Here is a 20562-nt window from a genome sequence, read left to right as displayed (position 1 = left end):
GCAGGGACTTGGAAAACTTCACTTTAGCCCTCGCTTGTATATGGCCTTAGACAAGTCCCTGAGGCAGGCCTGCACTCGAATCCCTGTTGTGTCACAAGGTATGTGACCTCAGTGAGCACCTTGGCCTCTCTGGGCCCCAGTTTCTTTCTTTTTTTAAATTTTAGAGACAGGATCTCACTCTGTCACCCACGCTGGAGTGCAGTGGCACAGTCACAACTCACTGCGGCCTCCAACTCCTGGGCTCAAGGAATTGTCTTTTCTCAGCCCCCACTCCAAGTAGCTGTGACTACAAGTGCTCACCCCCATGTTCAGCTAATTTTAAATTTTTTTGTAGACACAGGGTCTCACTATGTTGCCCAGGCTGGTCTTGAACTCCTGGCCTTAAGCAATCCTCCTGCCTTGGCCTCCCAAAGTGCTGGGATCATAGGTGTGAGCCACCACACCCAGCCTGGGCCCCAGTTCTTCACCTGTAAAGTGGGAGTAATAGTAATTACTCGCCAGGTTGCAGTGGGGAGTGAATGAGGTGATAAATATAAGTGCTTAGCTCATAGCCTGGCTCAGAAGAGGTGCCCAGTAGATGTAACTGGTATCAGATTGGTCACTGTTGTATCCTAATTCTCTGTTCCTAAAACTTCTTCTGGAGGGGGCCATTTCTGGAGACTCTGGGCTCCTGCACTTTGACCTCTCCATGATTTCTCAGTAAGTGGGTTCTAATCCCAGGAGTAGGAAACTCGAGCAGGAAATATCATGGAGTGTTCCCAGATGCCTCAAGGAGCTTTGAAAAGACAGAGGAGAGAGAAGAACGGGTAGGAGGGGAAGATGGGGTTTAACCAGAGTATGCCCAAGACCAGGAGGAATGGATGGGCCCAGCGAGGGGCCAGCAGGGCTACAGGAGAAGAGGAAAGAGTGGGAGAGGCCAGAGCTACGCCCGTCTCAGCAGTACAGCCACCTTACAGCACAGGGCTTTCGGGTGGGGACTCTCCTGGGTGCCAGTGCTTCGAGTGCCTGGGACTCCCCTCTCTCAGGTTGGCCTTGTGTGCACCCCAGCAGTCGGCCAGCCTACAGTGTTGGTCTGTCAGGGTGAGTGGGGGCGGGAGGTTCTTCCAGGGCTGATCTGTGGGCAGAGGGGAGAGGCCACCATCCAGACAAGCTCCTTGCTCCTGACATGCCCTGTCTACTGCTGGGGGTGTGTGGATTGTTTCAGAACTCTGCCAGGCAGGCAGGAAGGAAGAAGGACTCAGCACCAGGCCAAAGTGGAAGGATGTCAGTATTTGGCAGAGAGGAAATGGAGGGCTGAGGAGAGAAAAGGAGGCAAAGGGGTTGGCAGCACCATGCTGTTGCTAAGGGGTACCCAGCACCTTTGGGGTCTAGAGCACCGTGGGAGCCACGGCCTGAACCAGAGTTCAGGATGCAACAGGGCTGCTGTTTCAGACCTAAGGAGGTCCGGGGAATGGTGTCTCCTAGTCCCAGCTCCCTGTCAGAATGCTGTTACCTGGAATGAGTCATATCCCCTCTCTCAGCCTCAGTCTCTCATCTGCAAAATGCAGAAAATGCTACCTGTCCCTCCTGCCTTGCAAGGTTATCTGAGGATCTGGTCAAGGCATGGCCATAGGCGCCCACCAGGGCCTGGTGGAAGGACCGGGGATTGACGCCTCCAAGGGGCCTTAGGAGACCTGCGTTCGAGTCCCCACTCTGTCCCCGGTTCCCAGAGGACCCTGGGCAAGCCTTGCCCCTCTCCTAGGACTCAGTTTCCTCCTTGAAGAAAGAAATGCCTGCAGCACACACAACTCAAAAACCAAACACAAAAATCACTCCACAAACCACTCCACACAAAAACACACTCCAAAAAAAAGGAGAAAAAGCCCAGCCCTTTTCCCGAGTCTCAGCACAGTGGGAGCTCGGGACCAAGCCCCACCCAGGCCGCTGAGGCCTCTCCCGCCATCCTCAGCCCCGGGCTGGGGTCTTTTACCTTCGCAGCAGCTGCTGAGTGGCGCAGAGTACCCGATGAATAACCACAGAGAAACTACAACAGGAACCACGGTGCAGGGTGAGATGGGGAGAGGAGGGGCAAGGAGAATGTGGTGGGTCACAAAACCACTCAAAATCCACCATGGAGAGAGGGGGACCCTCAGGGAGAGGTCTGGGGTCCTGGAAGCTCTGTGATGCCTTGGTGGTCCTGAGGGCAGGGGACAGCCAGGCACCTAGACAGGCATGGAAGGGGCAAGGACTGTCTTCTGCGTGAGGACTTCATGCACCCTCCAGGAAGCCATGGGACAGGAGGAAAATATGAAATAAAAAGGCATGCAACCCAGCAGGAAAAAATCCACTAGACCCTCACCCTAGGGCCTAAGGAAAGGCGGAGGGGGCTGTTCTCCCACTGTCTGATGGGGTCTGGGGCTGGCACAGACATGCCCTCTGTGCCAGCTTCTCTGAGTATCCACACCCACCCCACATCCTTCAAGCTGGATGTGCTCTTTCTGCCCATGCTCTCTTTAGCAGCTGGATTCCAGGGGGTGAACCCCCACAGTAAACCGATCCCTGACCGGTTCTGCTCTGTGACCTCTCAGGTGACCCTTCTCTGGGCCTTGCACCCCAGCCATATCCCCAGTTAGTACAATAAGAGGACCAGATGGGAACACCTTTGAGGCCCCTCCAGGCCCCTCCTGGAGCCACAGCAAAGCTCCATACCCATTATGTGGCCAGGGGGCTCAGCTGAAGCTGTTGGACAAGGGCAGGGCTTAGACTCAGGCCTGGCCCGTGGGGGCCCTTCCCGAACAACAGAAACCGCACCCGGCTTACCATGGCGACATCGGCCTGGAAGATCTGCTTGATGAACTTGTTCCTGGAGGAGTGGACCAGCTGGATAATGTCCCCATGCAGGGTGTCTCGGTTCTTCTCCAGGAAGCCTGCAAGCAGCAAACAGCAGTCACCTCTCACCAGCTCTGGCAGGCCCTCCCCAAACCCATAACATCTGAGCCAGGAGGACCCTCAAAATCCACCTAGTTCCACCACATCCATTTCATGACGGGGGCCCTGAGGCCTGGAGGGGACAGAGACTTGCCCAAGATCATAGAGAAAGTGAGGGGCCATCTCCCCAGTGACACAGCTCCCCTCTTCCAGGCCTGTTCAAGAAGGGCAGGGGGGTCTCAGTCTCCAGGAGAAAGCAGGCCTCCTTCCTGACCAACCACCCCAAAGCTACCATGAGTCTTTTGAACTAAGATATCAAAAGGCCTTGTTAAGTAAGTGTGTCACCTGGGAGAGAATGCATGTTGATCTGGTACAAGCTAATATTAAAGGAATTCATTAAAACCACCTTGTGGTTGGACAGTGTGTTATGTTTTATGAAGACCCCTCACAGCTCCTTCTATGTGGGACAGGTAGGGATTACCTCCTCTGCCCCCAAAGGGAGAAAACTGATGTTCAGAGAAGCTAAGTGAGTTGTCTAATGTCACACAGTAAGCCATGGGCAGAGTTAAGACTTGAACCCAGGACGCTGGTGCAAAGGAGATTCTCTGCACCCAGAACCCAGGATCCCCAGGAGCCTAGGGAGATTCCCCTGCACCACACAGACCCCAGAGGAGGCTGCCACTCACAGGGACCGAGGAGTTGGAAACTGGTTAATGGGGAGGGGGTTGTAGAGTGGGGCAAGAGACGGGGTGTCCAAGGACTGCAGATGCCAGAGGGGGAGTGCCACTGCACAGAGCAGGACATAGGCTGCCCATGAATGGCGGACAGCACAGAGATCCAGTGCTAGGCTGCCCGCCTGGCACCTGGGGAGGGGCGAGTTGCAGGGGACACACAGGAATGGAGGGTGGGCTTTGCAGTTGGGATGTAATTGGGTTCTCACTAAAGCTCTGACAGACTCACTATGTTATCCTAGAAAGACCCCCATTCTGGGACTCCAGTTTCCTTAACTGTTGGATGGGAAGGATAGTGCCTACAAGCTTGCTTCTCTTCAGAACACCTAATACCACCCACTTCATAAATCCACATCATAAATAAGACGCTGTATTGAAAAGGTTCTTTGTGAACTAGAAAATGCTGGTAGAATTCTTTCCAGTCATTTAGTCTTGTTTAACAACCTTAGGCAAGCCATTTCCCTTTCTGGGCTTCAGTTACCAATTCTATTAAGGTAGATGACCCTTATGTTCCCTCCAGACCTGGCGTTCTATAGTTTTACAACTCAGCATAGAGATTATTCAATTTTCACTTCTGTATCCTCAGCAACGTCATGAAGCCTGGTACATAATAGATGCTAAGAGCATATTGGTTGAACTGAACTGAGAAATACAATCCTCTATTACTCCAAATGAAAGACCAATTTGTTTGCGTGACAGTCCTTCAAACTTAATGTCTGCTTCCTTCTTCCAACAATAAGGTTGGATCTCACAGTCCAATATTGTAAGGGAATCTGAGCCGCCATCAGATTCTACCACTGCAGCCTGGCTCACTGATACACTGCTGACTTCTGGACCAGTTCAGCAACGGAGTAAGAAACGGATGGGTTATAGCATGTTTGGATATCTTTGGCCTTTTTTAAAAAAAAATTAATTTTTAATTTTTTGTGGTACATAGTAGGTATAGATATTTATGGGTTAATTGGCCTTTGACTATGCATGGGACCCCTTGAGGCTGTATGGCAGGGCTCAGGGTAGACACAGCCCATAACTAATGCCAATTTGTGGTTGGCCCTTTACACCAGGGTGGGTGGGGAGGGATTGGCAAGGGCAGTCTGCAGTCTTTTGACAAACCCTTAAGAATTCCAGGTGAGATAAGCCTGTGTTCTGACCACTCTTCTTAACTTCCAGCTTTAACGTGAACCCAATTGCCTGTCCCCAGGGGAAAAGAAGATGCACGGTCTTCAAAGCTCATGCTTGGTCTTGTTGCTGAGAGTCTTAGGGGGTAACTGGGCTGGTTCGAGGCCTGACTTTGAGCCTAATGGGCTATGTTGTATCAGGTAAGGACAGTCAAGCCCCCCCCACCTTGTTCTGAGCCTCAGTTTCCCTAAATGTGCAAACAAGCATTGAGCCCATCCAAAAGAATTGAAAGCAGGGACTCGAACAGATATTTGTACACAAGTGTTCAGAGCAGCACTATTCACAAAAGTCAAAAGGTAGAAACAACCCCAAAAGTCCATTAGCAGATAAATGGATAAACAAAAGGTTTATCCACACAACGAAATACTATTCAGCCATAAAAATGAGGGCAATTGATACATGCTACAACGTGGATGAAAATTAAAGACATTACGCTGAATGAAACAAGCCAGACACAAAAGGACAAATACAGTCACGTCTTCACCACAGAATGACATCTCAGCCAACTGCAGATACAATAGTGGTGGCTAAGATGGTAATGACGTATTTTTACTTTACCTTTTCTATGTTTAAATGCACAAATACTTACCATTCTGTCACAACTGCCTACAGTATTTAGTACAAGAACATGCTGTACAGGTCTGTAGCCTGAGGGCAATAGGCCATACCAGATAACCTAGCTATGTAGTAGGCTGGACCATCTAGGTGTATAACTACACTCTACAATGATTGACAATGACCAAATTGCCTAACGACACATTCTCAGAAATGACGTTAAACGATGTATGGCCATAGCATATGATTCCACTTATATGAGGTACCTAGAATAGTCAAACTCACAGACAGAAAGTAGAACACAGGTTACAGGGGGCCGGGGGTAGGGGAAGGAGTTACTGCCCCATGCTTGCAGAGCCTCTGTTTGGGGCGGTGAGAAAGCCCTGGAAATAGATAGCAGTACTGGATGCACAGCACTGTGAAGTACTTAGTGCCACTGAATCCAACACTTGGCCATTTTAGTCAAGTTCATATATATATATATATGAATAATCACAATTTTTAAAAATCTTTAAAATTCCGGATATCTTATTCCTGGGCTGGAGCAGGGGAAGGCAGGGCCACGGGCAGGGAGTGACAGACAGCCGGCAGCCCTCTGTACCTTGGGTCTCATAGTAGACGATGCCTGCAAAATGGTTGATGCCAAACTGGGTCTCATGGTTGTTCTTGGGGGGGATGTAGTTGGCGTTGAGCTTGTGCTGGGAGTTCAGCTTGTGTAACATGGTGGTGTCTGTGCCCTGGGGAGTGGAGGGGCAGCTGTGAGCCCACCCTCTCCTCCATGGGCCCCACTCCCCTCCCTGCCCATGTCTTTGCCCCCTGTCTCTTCTTCAGGAGCTTCCCCTCCTTTTATTTCTACCTCACATAGGCGCTCTCTGGAACCCCATTTCCCCATCTGTTAAGTGGATGAATTGGAACTACACAACTTTGAAAGTGCATTCCAGTTTAGACAATCGATTTCCCAAGATTAAAATCATGGGTGCAATCCCCTCTCCCCCTCCCCAACTCTGAGATATACACTGTGTCCTGAGTACCCATTCCATGCCAACTGCATGCATGGATCTTCATGGCCTGGCCCAGAACCCCATGGACTGTAGGTGATTCCCAAATGGCAGATGCCTATACTTGAATTGGCCCCTGAGCCAACTTGAGAGGTGGGTATCATTAGTCCTATTTTGCAGATGAGGAAAGCCGGGGCTCAAAGCAGGGAAGGAAGCTGTGCGCACCCAAGACCCTGGGAGGCGGCAGCAGGACCGGCCCACCTTGGGGAACTTGCTCTCCTCATCGATGAGGGAGATGATGTTCATGGGCTTGTTGGCAATCATGTCCAGGGCATCCTGGTTGTCAGTGAACTCGATGTGCAGCCAGTCAATGCTCTCCAGGTCATATTCCTCCTGCTCCAGCTTGAACACGTGCCGCACAAAGAACTGCTGCAGGTGCTCATTGGCGAAGTTGATGCAGAGCTGCTCAAAGCTGCAGGGGCACAGGGATGGGGTAAGGGTGTTGTTCAGGCCCCACCATGCTGTTCAGGGCCTGGCTCTGCCTCCACCTGCAGCATGGCCATTAGCAAGCTATCCCCATCATGGACTCCAAACTCAGAGGCGAGGGGAATTGTCAAGTCCACCTCCCTCCAGGTGCAGAGGAGGACACGGAGGCCCAGCAAGGGCAAAGGACTTGCCTAGGGTCACTCTGTGAGCCAGAAGGAGAGCTAAGGCTTTTCAGGACTCTTTCCCTGGCATGATCAAGCCCTGGGGAGGGCTGGGGATTGGCAGGTGGGCACCCAAACCCCAGGCAGATGCCTGGGAGAGAAAGACCCCAGAGGCTGGCTGGTGGGCCATACAGGGACATCAAAAGTGGCCTTGGGAGGTGGGAAGGGGGTTGACAAGACTTGGGAAACAGAGCCCTGGCTGCAGACATGGCCGAGCCACGGACACAGCCCAGTATGTTGAGTGTGGGTGTTTTGGTGCTGGAGGGCTTTGAGACATCCAAACAGCAAGGGAACTGATATGACTTGCCAGGTCCTGACTTTCCAGCAGGAAGTGGGGCTCCAGGACCCGCCTGTATGTGACACCACCCATCAGTCCCTCACACGGCCCCTAAAAGGCACAGAATCCCAAGGGTGGCGGAGACCCCAACACAAGCGTGGCACAGGCCTGGCCTCCCTGCTTTGAGGCGCCTTGCAGCATGGATCTGGGCAGATCGGCAGTGGCCAGTGGGTCCTGGAGACCAGAGGTTTCCTCCCCAAGTGTTCAGGATGCGTACAGCCTCCTGACAACCCCAGCCAGGCTCAGCTGACCTTGAGGAGGTGAGGGACACGAGGGGATGGGAAGGAAAGGGAGAGGGTCCACCGTGATGACGGAACAGCCTGGCAGAGTGTGCCAGGAGCCAACTAAATGTGCTTCGCAAGGGAGAGACGTGATATTTCTTATTTCCATATTGGGGAAGGAAATTCCCATGAGCAGAGCCCCACGCGGTACCTGTTCACAGCAAAGTTCTCAAACCCAAAGATGTCCAGGAGGCCGATGGACCTGCGAGAGTTCTTCACATCCTGGGAGGGAGGCTTGTAAATTGCTGCGTTGATCTTGTCCACAATCCACACGAACAGCCGCCCGTAGATCCCCTGAAAGGCAGTGATCAGCCACTGGCACCAGCCACACCCTCCCCCGGGGGACAGGCCAGGCTCCTGGACCCTTCGTGGTGTCGCTCCAGCCCTTGTGTGGAACAAAGTGCCGTGTGAAACCCCCAACCCTTTACTTGAGCTGTTCCCTCTGCCTGGAGACCCCTTTTCCTGCTTGAACAGTTCCTACACATTTTTCAAGGCTCTGTTGAGATAACAGCTCCTCTTGGAGAAGCCTTCCCTGACCATGCAGCAGGGGAAGGAGCCCTCCTTGGGGCTCTCATCTCTATGTCCAACCCTGTTTATCTCTGAGGTCCCCGAACCCAGCCCAGGGCCTGGTGTGGTGGGTGAAGGCTCGATGAATGGCAAACGTGTGGTTGTAGAAACAGGACCTGACCTAGATCCCCTCTTCTGTGTCTTCTGCAAAGAGACCAAAGAGAGTATCCCTGGGCTGGGAACAACATGGCTGACCAAAGCAGGCCAAAAGCCAAGGGCCTGGGGCGGCCAGAGCTGGGAAGGCCCCAGAGGAGCATGGGCACCTGGGACTCAAGGAAGGCCGACTGCAGCCCCGGGGCAGGCAGGGGTGGCGACCCAGATGTCTACCCACCTCCCAGGACTCCTTGGCACCTGCCCATCAAGAGCCCAACTTCCCAAGGGGTAGGGCGAGCAAGCGGCCCCTTCCCTCCAGCCCACCTTTACGAAGGCGTCGCGCACGTCCAGTGCCTGTTCCCTGCTCAGTGGGGTGGACACCGTCTCCCCGCGGGTGATGAGGGTGCGGCTAGTCAGGCAGCTCATCAGGTCTGGGGGGTTCACCTGGTACAGGCAACACCCCAGGTGCTCACCTGCCAGCCTGCCCCTCCCTCCACCCACACCCGGATCCCTCCACTTTCCGGCACTGGCCTGGCCCAGACCACTGCCTCCACTAAGCACGCCTGCCCCAGGGCCCACGGCCAAATCCTCCCTAGCCATGGAAACCTGCCCCAGTGCTGCCTGGAAGGAACTTCTCTCTCCTTGACAGCCCCGCTTAACTCCCTCCAGCATGTCACCTGTCCCTTCTAGGACCAGCCCTGACTCTGGCTTTATTCATCTCAGTTTTCCAACCCTAATAAGTGTTTGCTAAAAGACAGACAGACTCAATGCATTTGACCCAGGGACACCAGTGCCCTTTGCCCAGATGTGGAGACTGAGGCCCAGAGGGCAGGGATGACTCACCCAGGGTCACATAGCCCAGAGCATCACAGGGCCCCCACCTGCCCTGCCATACCCACAGAAGCTCCTTCAGGACCTGTGCCTAGCACAGGACCTGCACATGGTTGCTTCTCCATATTGAACAGAACTCTCCAAACCAGAGGGTCCCAGCAATGTGGTTCCTACATCCCAGCCCCCAATGAGCTTAAACTCAACCCTTCAGAGGGACAGAAGTCATGGAGGGGAGAGAGGCCAGGCACTGACCTCAAGCAGGGATGCAGCTGTGGCCAGCGATGGGGAGAAGAGAACCTCACAGGCATCCAGGTTTTCAAATGTGCGTGCTGTTGGCAGCAAGGGGCACAGCATCAGGGGAGGGAGGGTGGGCAACAGGGGCAAGGGGACAGTCCTAAGAGGACTAGGCTGCCACTCCTGCTGCCGGGGTCCTGCCCTGTCCAGGGAGGGCATCAGCATTGTGACTAAATGCTTCCCCAGGTCAAGGTGTATTTGATTAATGTTCTCACCATGAGTCTGCAGGCAGCATGAGGGTAGGGACCACGTATGCCCTGCACATGGCACCATGCCTGGCATTCGAGGAATAGACACTGGCCATTGCAGCTCTCTCCCCACTCCCAGGGCTCTTGGCAGCAGCCCTGGCTCCTGTTAGACAAGCTTTGGATCCCCTCCCCGACATGTGCTCTGTTCTCAGGACCTTTGCACAAGCTCTTCCTGCTGTCAGCTTACCCTTCCCTGTGTCTCTTAGTCTTTCAAGATGCCTAGACTGTGATCTCCTTAGTGCTGGGATCATTCATTCCTTGGGCACATTTCCTGGGGCTCCTACTCTGCCTGGGGACCATGCTGGGAATCAGGGGCAAGAGCAGAGTGGGACCTGCCACCTGCCTCAGGGGATCACCTCCCAGCCTGGCACATAGTGGGTGTCCAAGAATGTTAGATGAGTGAACACGTTCCCTTCCCTAGCCTTCTCCCTTTCCAAAGATGGCTATCCAGTCACTCACACCTTAGAGTGAATTAGTTCAAAGATTTACCCTCTCTCTAAGACATGTGACTTTAAAGAAGAAACCAAATTTGAAGTGAGTCTTAAAGTGTCCATAGACAACTCCCAATATACTTTAACTGTACCTCTCCGTGGTGGACTGTCAGCACAGCGACACCACACCCACCGCTGATTTCAATCTAGCAGACCTGTTCAAATCTACCCACAGGCGAATTCTTCCCAGCTTCCATCCCAAAGAGGGCACGTGCTAGGACAGAAACTGAGCTGCCAATACCACGTGGGCAGCAAGGCACTGCACTGCCCTTGGCGCAGGGGTGGGGCAGGGCGAGTGTGGCGCAGCCTCACCCTCATACTGCAGGTTGCCCAGGTGCAGGATGGCAGCCAGGAGCTTCGAGATCTCCCAGTTCTCGGTGTCAGTGAACATGAGCACCTTCATGGCGGAGCGGATGTTGGCGTACTCCTGGCTGTCCACCCGGCCCTCACAGGTTATGCAGTTACCCTGGTGGGCAGGGTGGGAGAGTGGGGTGCAAGAGGACGTCAGTGTACCCCCAGAGGGGCAGTGCCTGGCTGCCTGCCCAAAAGGCCCTTTCTGCCTGACAGGCCAGGCCAGCCCGGGGCCCCAGGCGCTGACCTCACCCGGTGAGCACCACAACTCCTCCAGAAAGTCTGGAGGGTCTAGAAAGCCTGGGCTTCCCAGGAACTCATTCTCCACATCTGGGGGTGCTGGTGCCCCTTCTTCCCATGAAGAGCAGGCAGGTCACTGATGCCAGGCCAGCCCCTGTTGCCCACCTGGCAGTCACAGCACTTAGGCCCTACTAGGCTCCTGCAGCCCCCCGGGGATACCCACTATCAGGGACTCGACCCCCTAGGCAGGTACTGCCTGGTGTAGACAGAGGAGAGGTAACTGCATACGAGCAGGGTTTCAACAGTGGGCACACCCCATTCTCTGTGTGTCTACAAGAGTGTGTGTGTGTGCACGTGTGTGCCAGCCAGCTACAGAAAGTGTCCAGGGACACCTGTCACACCTACAACACACACATGCACACACACATATACGCTTCAGGTGCCATAGCCCACACTTACGTCCATGTGGCCTGGCCCACCCCAGCCCAGCCCAGGCAACCAGACATGGGCTCTCCCCATGGCTAAAGGAGTGGTGCTTCCCAAGCCAGCCTGCCGTGTGCGTGCCCCAAGGTCCCCCACCCTTTGCTTGGTGGCAGCAATGGCCAGGAGCCCACTTCTCCTTGGTGTCCAGACAAGCCAGCAAGAAGCTGGCACCTGAGCCCTGTGACCAGTGAGACCTCAAGGCTGAGTCTGCAGTAGCCAGCTCCCTACAATCCTAGGGTGGGTGCCCCCCTACCCAGGGGCCCACCTGGGCCTCACCATGGCCAAGTAGTTGTAGTCAGAGGCCTGGCCCAAGCCCAGCTTCTTCTTCTGATCCTCACTCATACCCTCCAGCATGCAGTAGAACACGTGGTAGTTCCTTTCATCCAGGGCCTGAAAATGTGGGCACAGTGCTGGGGGCCAGGGGAGGAGGGCCAGAGGAGGCCATCAGGAACTAGCCTGGGATGATGGTTTACTATTTTAACAAATGGCTTGTGGAGAAGCCCATCGGTGGGTTTCATGGTGGGATTTCCAGCACAGAGGGAAGCAGGCAGCAATACGGGCAGGTGGGGGAGCAATACGGGCAGCAATACGGGCAGGTGGGCCACGCAGACCCCTGAGGCCAGGGGCCTGGGTCTATTCCTGCATCCCTGGGGCTCAGGCCCACCTGGCGACAGACACGTGACTTTTCCAGCAGGTACTGCTCAATCTTCGCGCCCTCGATGGCGCCCCGCTTGTTGAAGTGGATGTCGATGTACTTTCCGAAACGGCTTGAGTTGTCATTGCGGATGGTCTTGGCATTCCCAAATGCTGCGGAGTGAGTAGGGTGTCACTGGCAAAGCCCGCTCCCGCCCCACTGCCTGGTCCCACCCTCGGAACTCTGGTCCTACCTTCCAGAATGGGGGTGGCCTCCAAGACCTGCTGCTCAATCCACGAGTGCTGCCCACTGATGGCTGCCAGGAACTGCAGGATCAGCTTTGTGCTCTCCGTCTTCCCGGCCCCAGATTCCCCACTGCAGAGGGAGGGAGTGGCAGGACCTGTCACAACCCACAGGGACTCCCCACCAACTGGAACTCAGCCCAGGCTGCACCATCCACCAGCTCCCCCATCTGTAATATCAGCTGACAATACGGACCCTCCAGGGCTGGGGCAGGGCTCAAGGGCCCAGTGCTCCACCGCACTCTCCTTCACCTTCGTTCAGATACAAATACACCTGCATCCATACTTGTCATAGAGCACAACACATATTAGATGCTCAGTCAATGCTTTGTCTTTTGCCCTCTGCCCAAAAGAAAATAGGAGCCTGAGATGTCAACTGACCATAACTTAACAGGAACCAGCAGTAAACAAGGCTGGCCTCAAAAGCTAATGTGAGCTTTGGTAGCACAGAGATATAAGACCCCAGAAAGGGGAGGTGATTTTCTACATTGTTACACAGCACAGAGTACATAGGTCTGGTTCCTGAAGAGCTTGATGGCATTTCCGACAGCGGGGGCAATTCCTAGAGGTATCAGCAGGAGCGCACAGTTGGAGCTCTAGGTCCTAAGCCTGGAGCTCCACACAGGTGCTGGGCCGCCCACCTGATGATGCAGCACTGGTCTCGGCTGTTGCGTTTCATGTTGAAGTAGCAGTTGTCAGCAATGGCAAAGATGTGGGGGGGCATCTCCCCAATCTTCTTGTTGGTATACTGGCGGATGTGCTCTGGCGAGTAGATGGAGAGCAGCTGGTAGGGGTTCACAGCCACCAGGATGGAGCCCGTATACGTCTGCGGGCAGCAAGAGATGGGGAGCTCGCTGATTCCATGTGGGAGACTCTGACTCTAGAAAGCTCTTGGGCTCTGCCCTGCTCCAGCACCCTGGAGGGAAGAGTCCTGGCTTTGGAGTCATGTGGGTGGACCTGGAGCCAGAATCGGGCCTCCTTAGGAGCTGGGGCAGGGCCTTCTGTCCAGCACTGGGTCTGGCTCGGAGTTAGTGCTCAGTGACATTTGATGAAGAGGGAGGTGGAGTCTCTAAGCCTAGATTTCCTTCTCTTCATCTGTAAAATGAGCGTAACTGTTTGTGAAGATTAAAGGAGGTGGTATCTTTTAAAATTCGTGGCACACACTAGGTACTCTGCAAATGCTGTCTCCCACCATCGCCTCCAGGCCCTGTATCCCAAACTTTTAGAGCGAAATTAATCAACGGGACCATGTCCAGAGGGAGGCCAGGTTGGTGAGGAAGAGGGGCGTGAGAAATTAGCCATAAAGAGCTGAAGGAGCTGGGGTAAGTGGCTTGGGGGCTGGGTGGGCCCCACTCTCTGTAGCACTGCCCCAGGACAGAGGGAGATGCTGTGCTCTAGGGGACAGAGCACCTCCAGCCATCCTGGGCAGCGTAGGCGCAGGGGCCAGGTGCACCTCAGATAGCCTTAAGGAGGTTCTCTACTTGGGCTCCTCTGTTAGTGCAAAGATCAGCTGTCTGTAGGCAAGGCTTCCTGTTGTGGCCTTGAGGTCCTGCCACAGGGGACAACAGCCTGGCCCTTCTGCCACCAGAGCAGGGTGAGGCACTCAGGGTTACTTCTCCCTCCTCCCACCCCACGTCTCAAACTTGAAAAGGTCAGGCAGGCCTAGACCATAATTGGCAGTGGATGTATTGATATCCGGGGCCTGGAGAGGCTGAAGAAAGATGTCCAGGGGAGGTGACAACCTGCCCTCCCCCTCCCATTCAGGGCTCAGTGCATCACAGCAGAGCCGCAGCTATGCCCCAGCAGCCTCAGCCTACTGTGGCCACGCAGGGAGAGTGTGGATGCAGGCACCGCATGCCAGGGGAAATGCCCACCCTGGGGCCAGGTGGGGCCAAGACCCAGGCTCCAGTCCTGGCCTTGGCTGGCCTGGACCAGGAGGGCTGGCCAGAAACTGCCCTTCTCTGGGCCCCTGGGCCCAGGAAGACCTTCCTTTCCCACCTAAGCCTCTTCCTCCAATCAACCCATGGAGAGAAGCACTTGAGCCTCACTGTGCTGACCTACTAACCGTACCACAAGAGCCAAGCAGGAAGAGCTGGGGTGGGGTGGGGGCGGGAGGCTGGAGGGGAGCAGCCAGGCCAAGCAGGCAGGCAGCCAAATAAGACGCCAGCTGGAGCTGGCTCTCTGTGCCACACTCACCCGCCCTCCGCAGTTGGTCTGAGGTTGCAAAGTGCAGAGCAGAAGCAAAGGAAGCTGGTCAGTGGGGAACAGGGGCTACAAGAGCATTTTCCACGAATGACACCCACATGGCCCAGGGCTGCTGAATTCTCAGATCAGGACCTGTGGACCCCCAGCCCACCAGGCCCTGCTCTCAGACCCCTCAGCCATCATCCCCTATAGTTCAGCCCTGCCCAGCCATGGGAACCGGCTAGATTCTGGTGGAAACCTGCATCAGACTAGGAACCAGCCCCAAAGAACATCCCTTTGGCAAACCTCAGTTTGCTAATTTGTAAAAGGGGAGGTTAACACCCACCTCCCTTGGCTGTTGTAAAGACTAAAGGGCAAAGACATAACCTTTGCCAGGCGCCTGATACATAAACGCCACCTTCCTTTCTCTCTTTTGAGGCAGAGTCTCGCTCTGTCGCCCAGGCTGGGTGCAGTGGCTCAATCTCAGCTCACTGCAACCTCCATCTCCTGGGTTCAAGAGATTCTCCTGCCTCCACGTCTCGAGTAGCTGGGGTTCTAGGCATGTGCCACCATGCCCAGCTAAACTTTCTTCTTAATAATGTGATGCTCAGCCGTCTGGCCCATGATCCCCACACAGCACAGGCTGATGCCATGCAGCCATTCAACAACCCTTTACTGAGACACACGGGGAGGCTGGGGTGTGAGGGCCCTGACGGAGGCCCCTAGATTTCATGAGATAGGGGTGTAGGGGAGGGAGAGCCAGGGGGCCCAGCCGCTGGTAGCAAGCACAGAGGCGTGAAAGGGCGTGACATTTAGGAGGTCTGCTGGTGAAAGGTCACCCCGGCAGCTGTGGAGGATGAATGGTGGTCACCCAGGCTGGAGGCAGAGGCCGTTTCAGACCTAATGGACCAGCTTCCAGAAGGCAGTCAGAGCCCGATGGAGGGAGGCCCTGGGAGCAGGCTCTGTGGCCACGTGCAAGGCACGGGAAGTCCAGAGAGGGACATGGGGGATGCTGAGACGCTGTGAGAAGCTGGCCCAGGGCTGGGGCCAGGCTTTCTCCCACCCATGGCACCCACGGCCTTCTCCACTCTGCCCACAGCCCAGAGGGTCCTCCTGCACATGAACCCTTCAGCCCTGAGCCTCCTGATGTCCCTACTCAATGCCACCAGCACATCCAGACCAGAGCTCCCCCTTCCCTCCAACCCTGCTCTCTCCAGCCTTCCCAACTCGACCAACAGCACCATCACATCCCTCACCCAGGGCAGGAAACTGGGGAGCCCCTGGACACCCCTCCCTCACACCACTCCCACTCTCCATCTGCATGCCGCCTCCCTGGCCAGGCCACCCTCATTTCTCAACAGCCCACTGCAGGTGCCTCCCCACTGGACTCCCGGCTTCCATACTCAACCCCCCAACAATCTATCCTCCACTCGGAGCCATGCAGGCTTTTAAAAAATCTAACCACATCATCCCTGCTGAAAACCCTCCAGCTGTTTCCCACAGCTTCTGGACAAAGTCCAAATCCTCTCCCTGTCCACAAGGCCCCAAGCCCTGGCTCCTGCCACCCTCGTCAACCTCAACTCACAACCAAGAGGCTCCATTCATATGAAACTTTCAGTTAAAAGCACCACACTCCATCCCCTGCCATCTCAGACCAGGGACACGCTTCCCCTACCCCTTCGTCCAGATAATTCCTTCTCATCCTTCAGTTTCAAGCGGAGACGATGCCTCCTCCAGGAAGCCAGGCACCTTCCTGTACAATCATCATACCCACAGGTCTCCTTCAGCATGCCCAGCTGACTCCTCTACAGTCCCCGTTCAAGGCCTCTGTCCCCCAGGGCCTGGCACCATGCACGGCACATAAGAGATGCTCAGCAACGTTTGCTGAGCGGCCGAAAGAGCAACTAGATCAATGGGCGGGGAAGTACAGGGCAGGTTGTCACCTCCCCTGGACATCTTTCTTCAGCCTCTCCAGGCCCCGGATATCAATACATCCACTGCCAATTATGGTCTAGGCCTGCCTGACCTTTTCAAGTTTGAGACGTGGGGTGGGAGGAGGGAGAAGTAACCCTGAGTGCCTCACCCTGCTCTGGTGGCAGAAGGGCCAGGCTGTTGTCCCCTGTGGCAGGGCCTCAAGGCCACAACAGGAAGCCTTGCCACTGCCAGCCACAGCAATCTGCAGGGAAGGTAGCGAGGGGACAGGCCTGTCAGCAGCATTGAGGCAGCCCCAGCCATGCTGACGGGAAAGGCGGTCGGGATGTGGCCAGTGGAAAACCACAGAACAGCGTGGGAGGGATGCTACCATCTGTGCAGAAAAAAATGAATAATTTTTTATGTATGTATGTATCTACCTAACTACTTATCTATCTACAAAACAAATAAGAGAAATGAGGCCTCTTTCCTCGGTGAGGCAGATTCTCTCCAGTAAGAGGGCAAGAGCAAGCCCTGTTGGGCTCAGGACTTTGCAGCTCCCACCCCATCACCCCTTTTACTTCCTCAGAAGGCCTCTGGAGGTGTGATCATATCCCCGCTTTGCAGATGAGAGAGGCGAGCCTCCAAGAAGTGGGAGACTTGCCAAGGTCACACAGCAGATGTGTGGGGGGTAGGGTGAACGAGACACCCTGGCACCAGAGCCCCAGCTCTGGCCTCTCCACCTGGGCTTCCCCAAACCCCAGGAACACACTCATGGGACTGACAGAGCCAGCAGCTGGGGTCTCCGGAAGAGGAGGCTGGCCACCACTGGCAATGAGGCCCTGGCCCTCTCTGGGCTTCTGTGCCCATCGGTCCTCCAAGGTCTTAGCACTGCTCCCTGAGCCCTCTGGCCAATCTCTCTAAGGATTCAGGTTGGCAGAGAATTAATGCCCAGCACAGACCTCTTGTTCCAATCTCTAGTAGTAAAATCTGCCCTGTGGAGTCACAGGTTGGGTGGGGAGAGAGGAGGACTATTCCCAAACCAGGGATACAGCACGTGTGGTCCCTAGGGGTCCCCAGGCGGAGCTCAGGGGGCCTCTCTGAGGCCACAGAGATGTAGCAGGAATCAATTTCACCTCCTCCAGGAAGTGCCCAGGCCTGTCGGCTCTGGGGACTTCGTTAGCATTTAGCGGGCCATGGAGACCAAGAACACATCCTGGGACTCACAAGTCTTCCTACAGCCACAAAGGTGCCCACTCCATGCAGTCTCCCTGTTGTGCCTAGGAAAGGCTGAGACCAGACAGGGATAGGGATGTCCCCAAGGGCACACGCCAAGACTGGACACCAGCCTCCCACCTCCCAGATCAGGGCTCCAGCCTCTGCTCAGCGTTAGGGAGCCCTGGGTCCCCACCAGCCCTTCCACACAATGCGGGGACAGTCCTTGCTCTCTAGGACCATGCAGTGAGGGGTTGCTAAGTGTTCTCTGAGGGCCTTTCCTCATTCTGGAGTGGCTGGGGCTGATGTGTGGCCCTGGGATGCTCTCTCAGGCTCCTGGGGACAGGGAAGCTGGAGGCAGGCGAGCCCAAGACAGTCAAGAGCAGAGCATCCGCCGGCCCAAGGCTGTGAGCTGGCCATGGTAATCGGAGGAAATCCTGAGCGCACGTGTTGTGCCCAGGGTAACCCAATCCATGAAGGGACGGGGGGTTGCCATGGTCAGGGACAGGTTTGGTTTCCGGGTGGGACGATGGCCCAGTTGCTTCTTCAAAGCCCTGCTCTAATCCTACCTCATCCACCAAGTCACAGAATCATGAACTCAGCGAGTCAAGGAAACCTCTTTGAATCCCACAGTTCTTTAGCATGGATCCCCAGTCCAAGAGACACTGAGAATCTAAGGTCAGCGGACTATTGGAGCTGAGGCCCTTCCAGGTGCCACAGCGTGGTTTCCCGGCCAGGGGTCCTGGACAAGAAGGCAGCTTATTCACCTACCTGGACCCCCACCCCGTCCCTCCACAGGGGACGGCCCTGCCTCCTCCCTCTCGCCCAGAAAATAAGTCAGAAAGGTTATGGTGAGAACTTCAAATGAGGCAAATGGTTCAGATTTGGGGCCTTTCTGGAGAACCCATAAATCTCTGAAGTTATTTTCTTTGAAACCCTCCTGGAGGATGTAATGTCCAAGCTATCCTCTGCTGGCCACCCAGGGATCAGTTCACCACCCTCCTAATTTTACAAACAAGATTCACTGTGCCCATGGTGTCTGAAGTTTTTTCCTCCCTCTCCCTTATGAATCCTGTTTTTGCCTTTGTTCCTTGATGCAGCTGACCTACCGACTCCTTCGCATGAGGACCGGCTTGCCTGCACTGTGGCTGACCCACATGCTTCATGCCCCTGAGCTATGCTGAGACACTGGTCTGCAGGGGGCCCGGCGGGAAAACTTCCATTTTACCCAGCTCCTCCCCTGAGACGGGGCCCTCCGCCTCCTCCTGACAGGAGAGTGGGCCTTGGGTTCCAGCCTCAGCATAGGGACAATGACAAAACACTGGCCCTGGAAGTACCCTGCAGGCAGGTGGACAGGCTCCCTGCTCACCTAAGGGTGGGACTGCCCAGGCCTGGGTGAGTGGCCACAGAGAACCCCAGGACCCACCAGTAGCCACTTGCCCTCCAGGGAGAGGAAGAGGGGGCTGCCAAGAACTGGGGTGTGGACACCAGCGGGTCCCTGTGAGATACGGCGGGTGGGTGCCCTGGGCTCGAGTTCTAGCTCCTCCCTGCTGGCTGGGTGATGCTGATGACATCTGGAAGAGCCCCCCATGCCCTGCCTCTCTGAGTGCAGGTGAGGCCTGACTGAGGGACAGAGTGAGAGGGGCTTTGTCAGTGCTAGAAGGCTCCCTGCGAAAGCCACTTCCTATGCCCAAAAAATGGACAGCAAGGAGCCATACACAGCCTCTCCTCTGGAGCCTGAAGCTGCAGAGGGACCTAGAGTCAGACAGTGGCTGAGGACCTCTCTGGCAGCTGAAGGGCCGTAATTCCAGGGCTCCTGAGAGGGACTGGACCCCTGGCCCTGAGAGCTCCTTGCCGTGATTCTTCAGTGACAACACCTGGGGCTCCCTGAGACTTTTCCAGCCCTGGGCCCTAGCACCCCTTCATGGTCCTGACAACCTGAGGGACACTGCCTGCCGATCGCTTGCCAGCATGGCCCTACCTCCAGCATTTATTCATGCCATGCCCCCTCCTGAATGCCATCTCTACCAGCCAACCTCACCCACCTCCAGAAGCCCAAATACCACCCCTCTGAGCTGGGAGTGACATCACTCCTGCAGACCCCACACCTCCCCCAGTAATGCCCCTAGTACCAGCCTTCCCTGGGCCTGGGTCTCGAGATAATCAGGCCAGCCCTGCATCAGGGGGGTCCCTCCTGCTCTCTGCTGGGGGTTGCACATCCTTGGTTTCCTTTACCCTTGGGCTGCGGGAGGATGGGGCTGGGTCAGAAGCAGGCAGTGACCCGGGCACGGCACAGCTCTGGGCCTGGCTAAACCTGTGGAGTCTCAGTTTCCCTGTCTGCAACTGGGCTATTGGGCTAGAGCAGCAGTTGTCAGGGTGTGGACCAAAGACCCCTAGGGGGTCCAAGACCCTTGCAGGAAGTCTGCAAAGCCATCTCTTTTCCAACTACACATCTGTGAGGCCAGATTTTCTTCAAACACTTCAGCCAAAATATCACATCAGACTGGACGTGAAGCAGAGATGAGAATCCAGTTGGCTTTATTAAGCCAGACATTAAAGAGATTTGAAAAAATCTGTAAAAACAATGCTACTCTTCTCACCATTTTTATTATTTTGGGAAATGTCATTTTTAGTAAAAATGTTATTTATATTATCTTATAATAGATTTATTATGGTTACTTTTTCAAAAATTAATACGTTTCTAAATGTCCCAGCTTTAACTTCTAATATGGCAAATATCAACAGATATAACCCAGTACACAAAAGTCCTTTGGGATCCTCAATAATTTTTAAGAACATAAAGGGTCCCTGTGACCAAAAAGTGTGAGAACCTCTAGAGTAAATGATCTCCACGGGCCCTTATTGCTCTGCTCTTCTCTGAGCTCAGCCTCTTGGAATCTGCTCTGTCCTGGCTGGGGCAGACATCTTTATTTGTCCTCCCCATTTGAAGGTGGAGGAGAGTGGTGTGTGTGTGTGTTTCTAATATCAAGGTTTGAGGGGTGGAGGAGCAGAGCATGTTCCCT

At 54.9% G+C, this 20562-nt stretch overlaps 1 protein-coding gene across 24 annotated transcripts in view; it reads right to left on the bottom strand.

Moving 5' to 3' along the window:
* MYO7A (myosin VIIA) overlaps positions 1–20562 on the bottom strand; it is an 86996-nt gene that overhangs the window by 46280 nt on the left and 20154 nt on the right. For 21 of the 24 annotated variants that reach the window (XR_001747888.2, XR_001747889.2, NM_001369365.1 and 18 more), the window contains 11 exons: positions 12871–13055; positions 12181–12302; positions 11958–12100; positions 11570–11683; positions 10532–10685; positions 9439–9515; positions 8680–8799; positions 7847–7989; positions 6632–6842; positions 5974–6109; positions 2800–2906 (listed from right to left, as the gene is read on the bottom strand). Coding sequence is in view for 22 of the 24 variants with exons in the window: in NM_001369365.1 (NP_001356294.1) it covers positions 2800–2906; positions 5974–6109; positions 6632–6842; positions 7847–7989; positions 8680–8799; positions 9439–9515; positions 10532–10685; positions 11570–11683; positions 11958–12100; positions 12181–12302; positions 12871–13055 (1512 nt within the window). In the remaining 2 variants the exon portion in view is untranslated. Of the gene's footprint in view, positions 1–2799; positions 2907–5973; positions 6110–6631; positions 6843–7846; positions 7990–8679; positions 8800–9438; positions 9516–10531; positions 10686–11569; positions 11684–11957; positions 12101–12180; positions 12303–12870; positions 13056–16088; positions 16297–20562 lie in introns of those variants that run through there. The other 3 variants (XM_047426971.1, XM_017017785.2, XM_011545050.3) reach the window with 2 other exon arrangements.

This window comes from Homo sapiens, chromosome 11 (genome assembly GCF_000001405.40).
Source record: "Homo sapiens chromosome 11, GRCh38.p14 Primary Assembly".
NCBI lineage: Eukaryota > Metazoa > Chordata > Mammalia > Primates > Hominidae > Homo > Homo sapiens.
The sequence above is the reverse complement of the archived record's forward strand: the minus strand, read 5'-3'. Positions and strand labels throughout refer to the sequence as shown.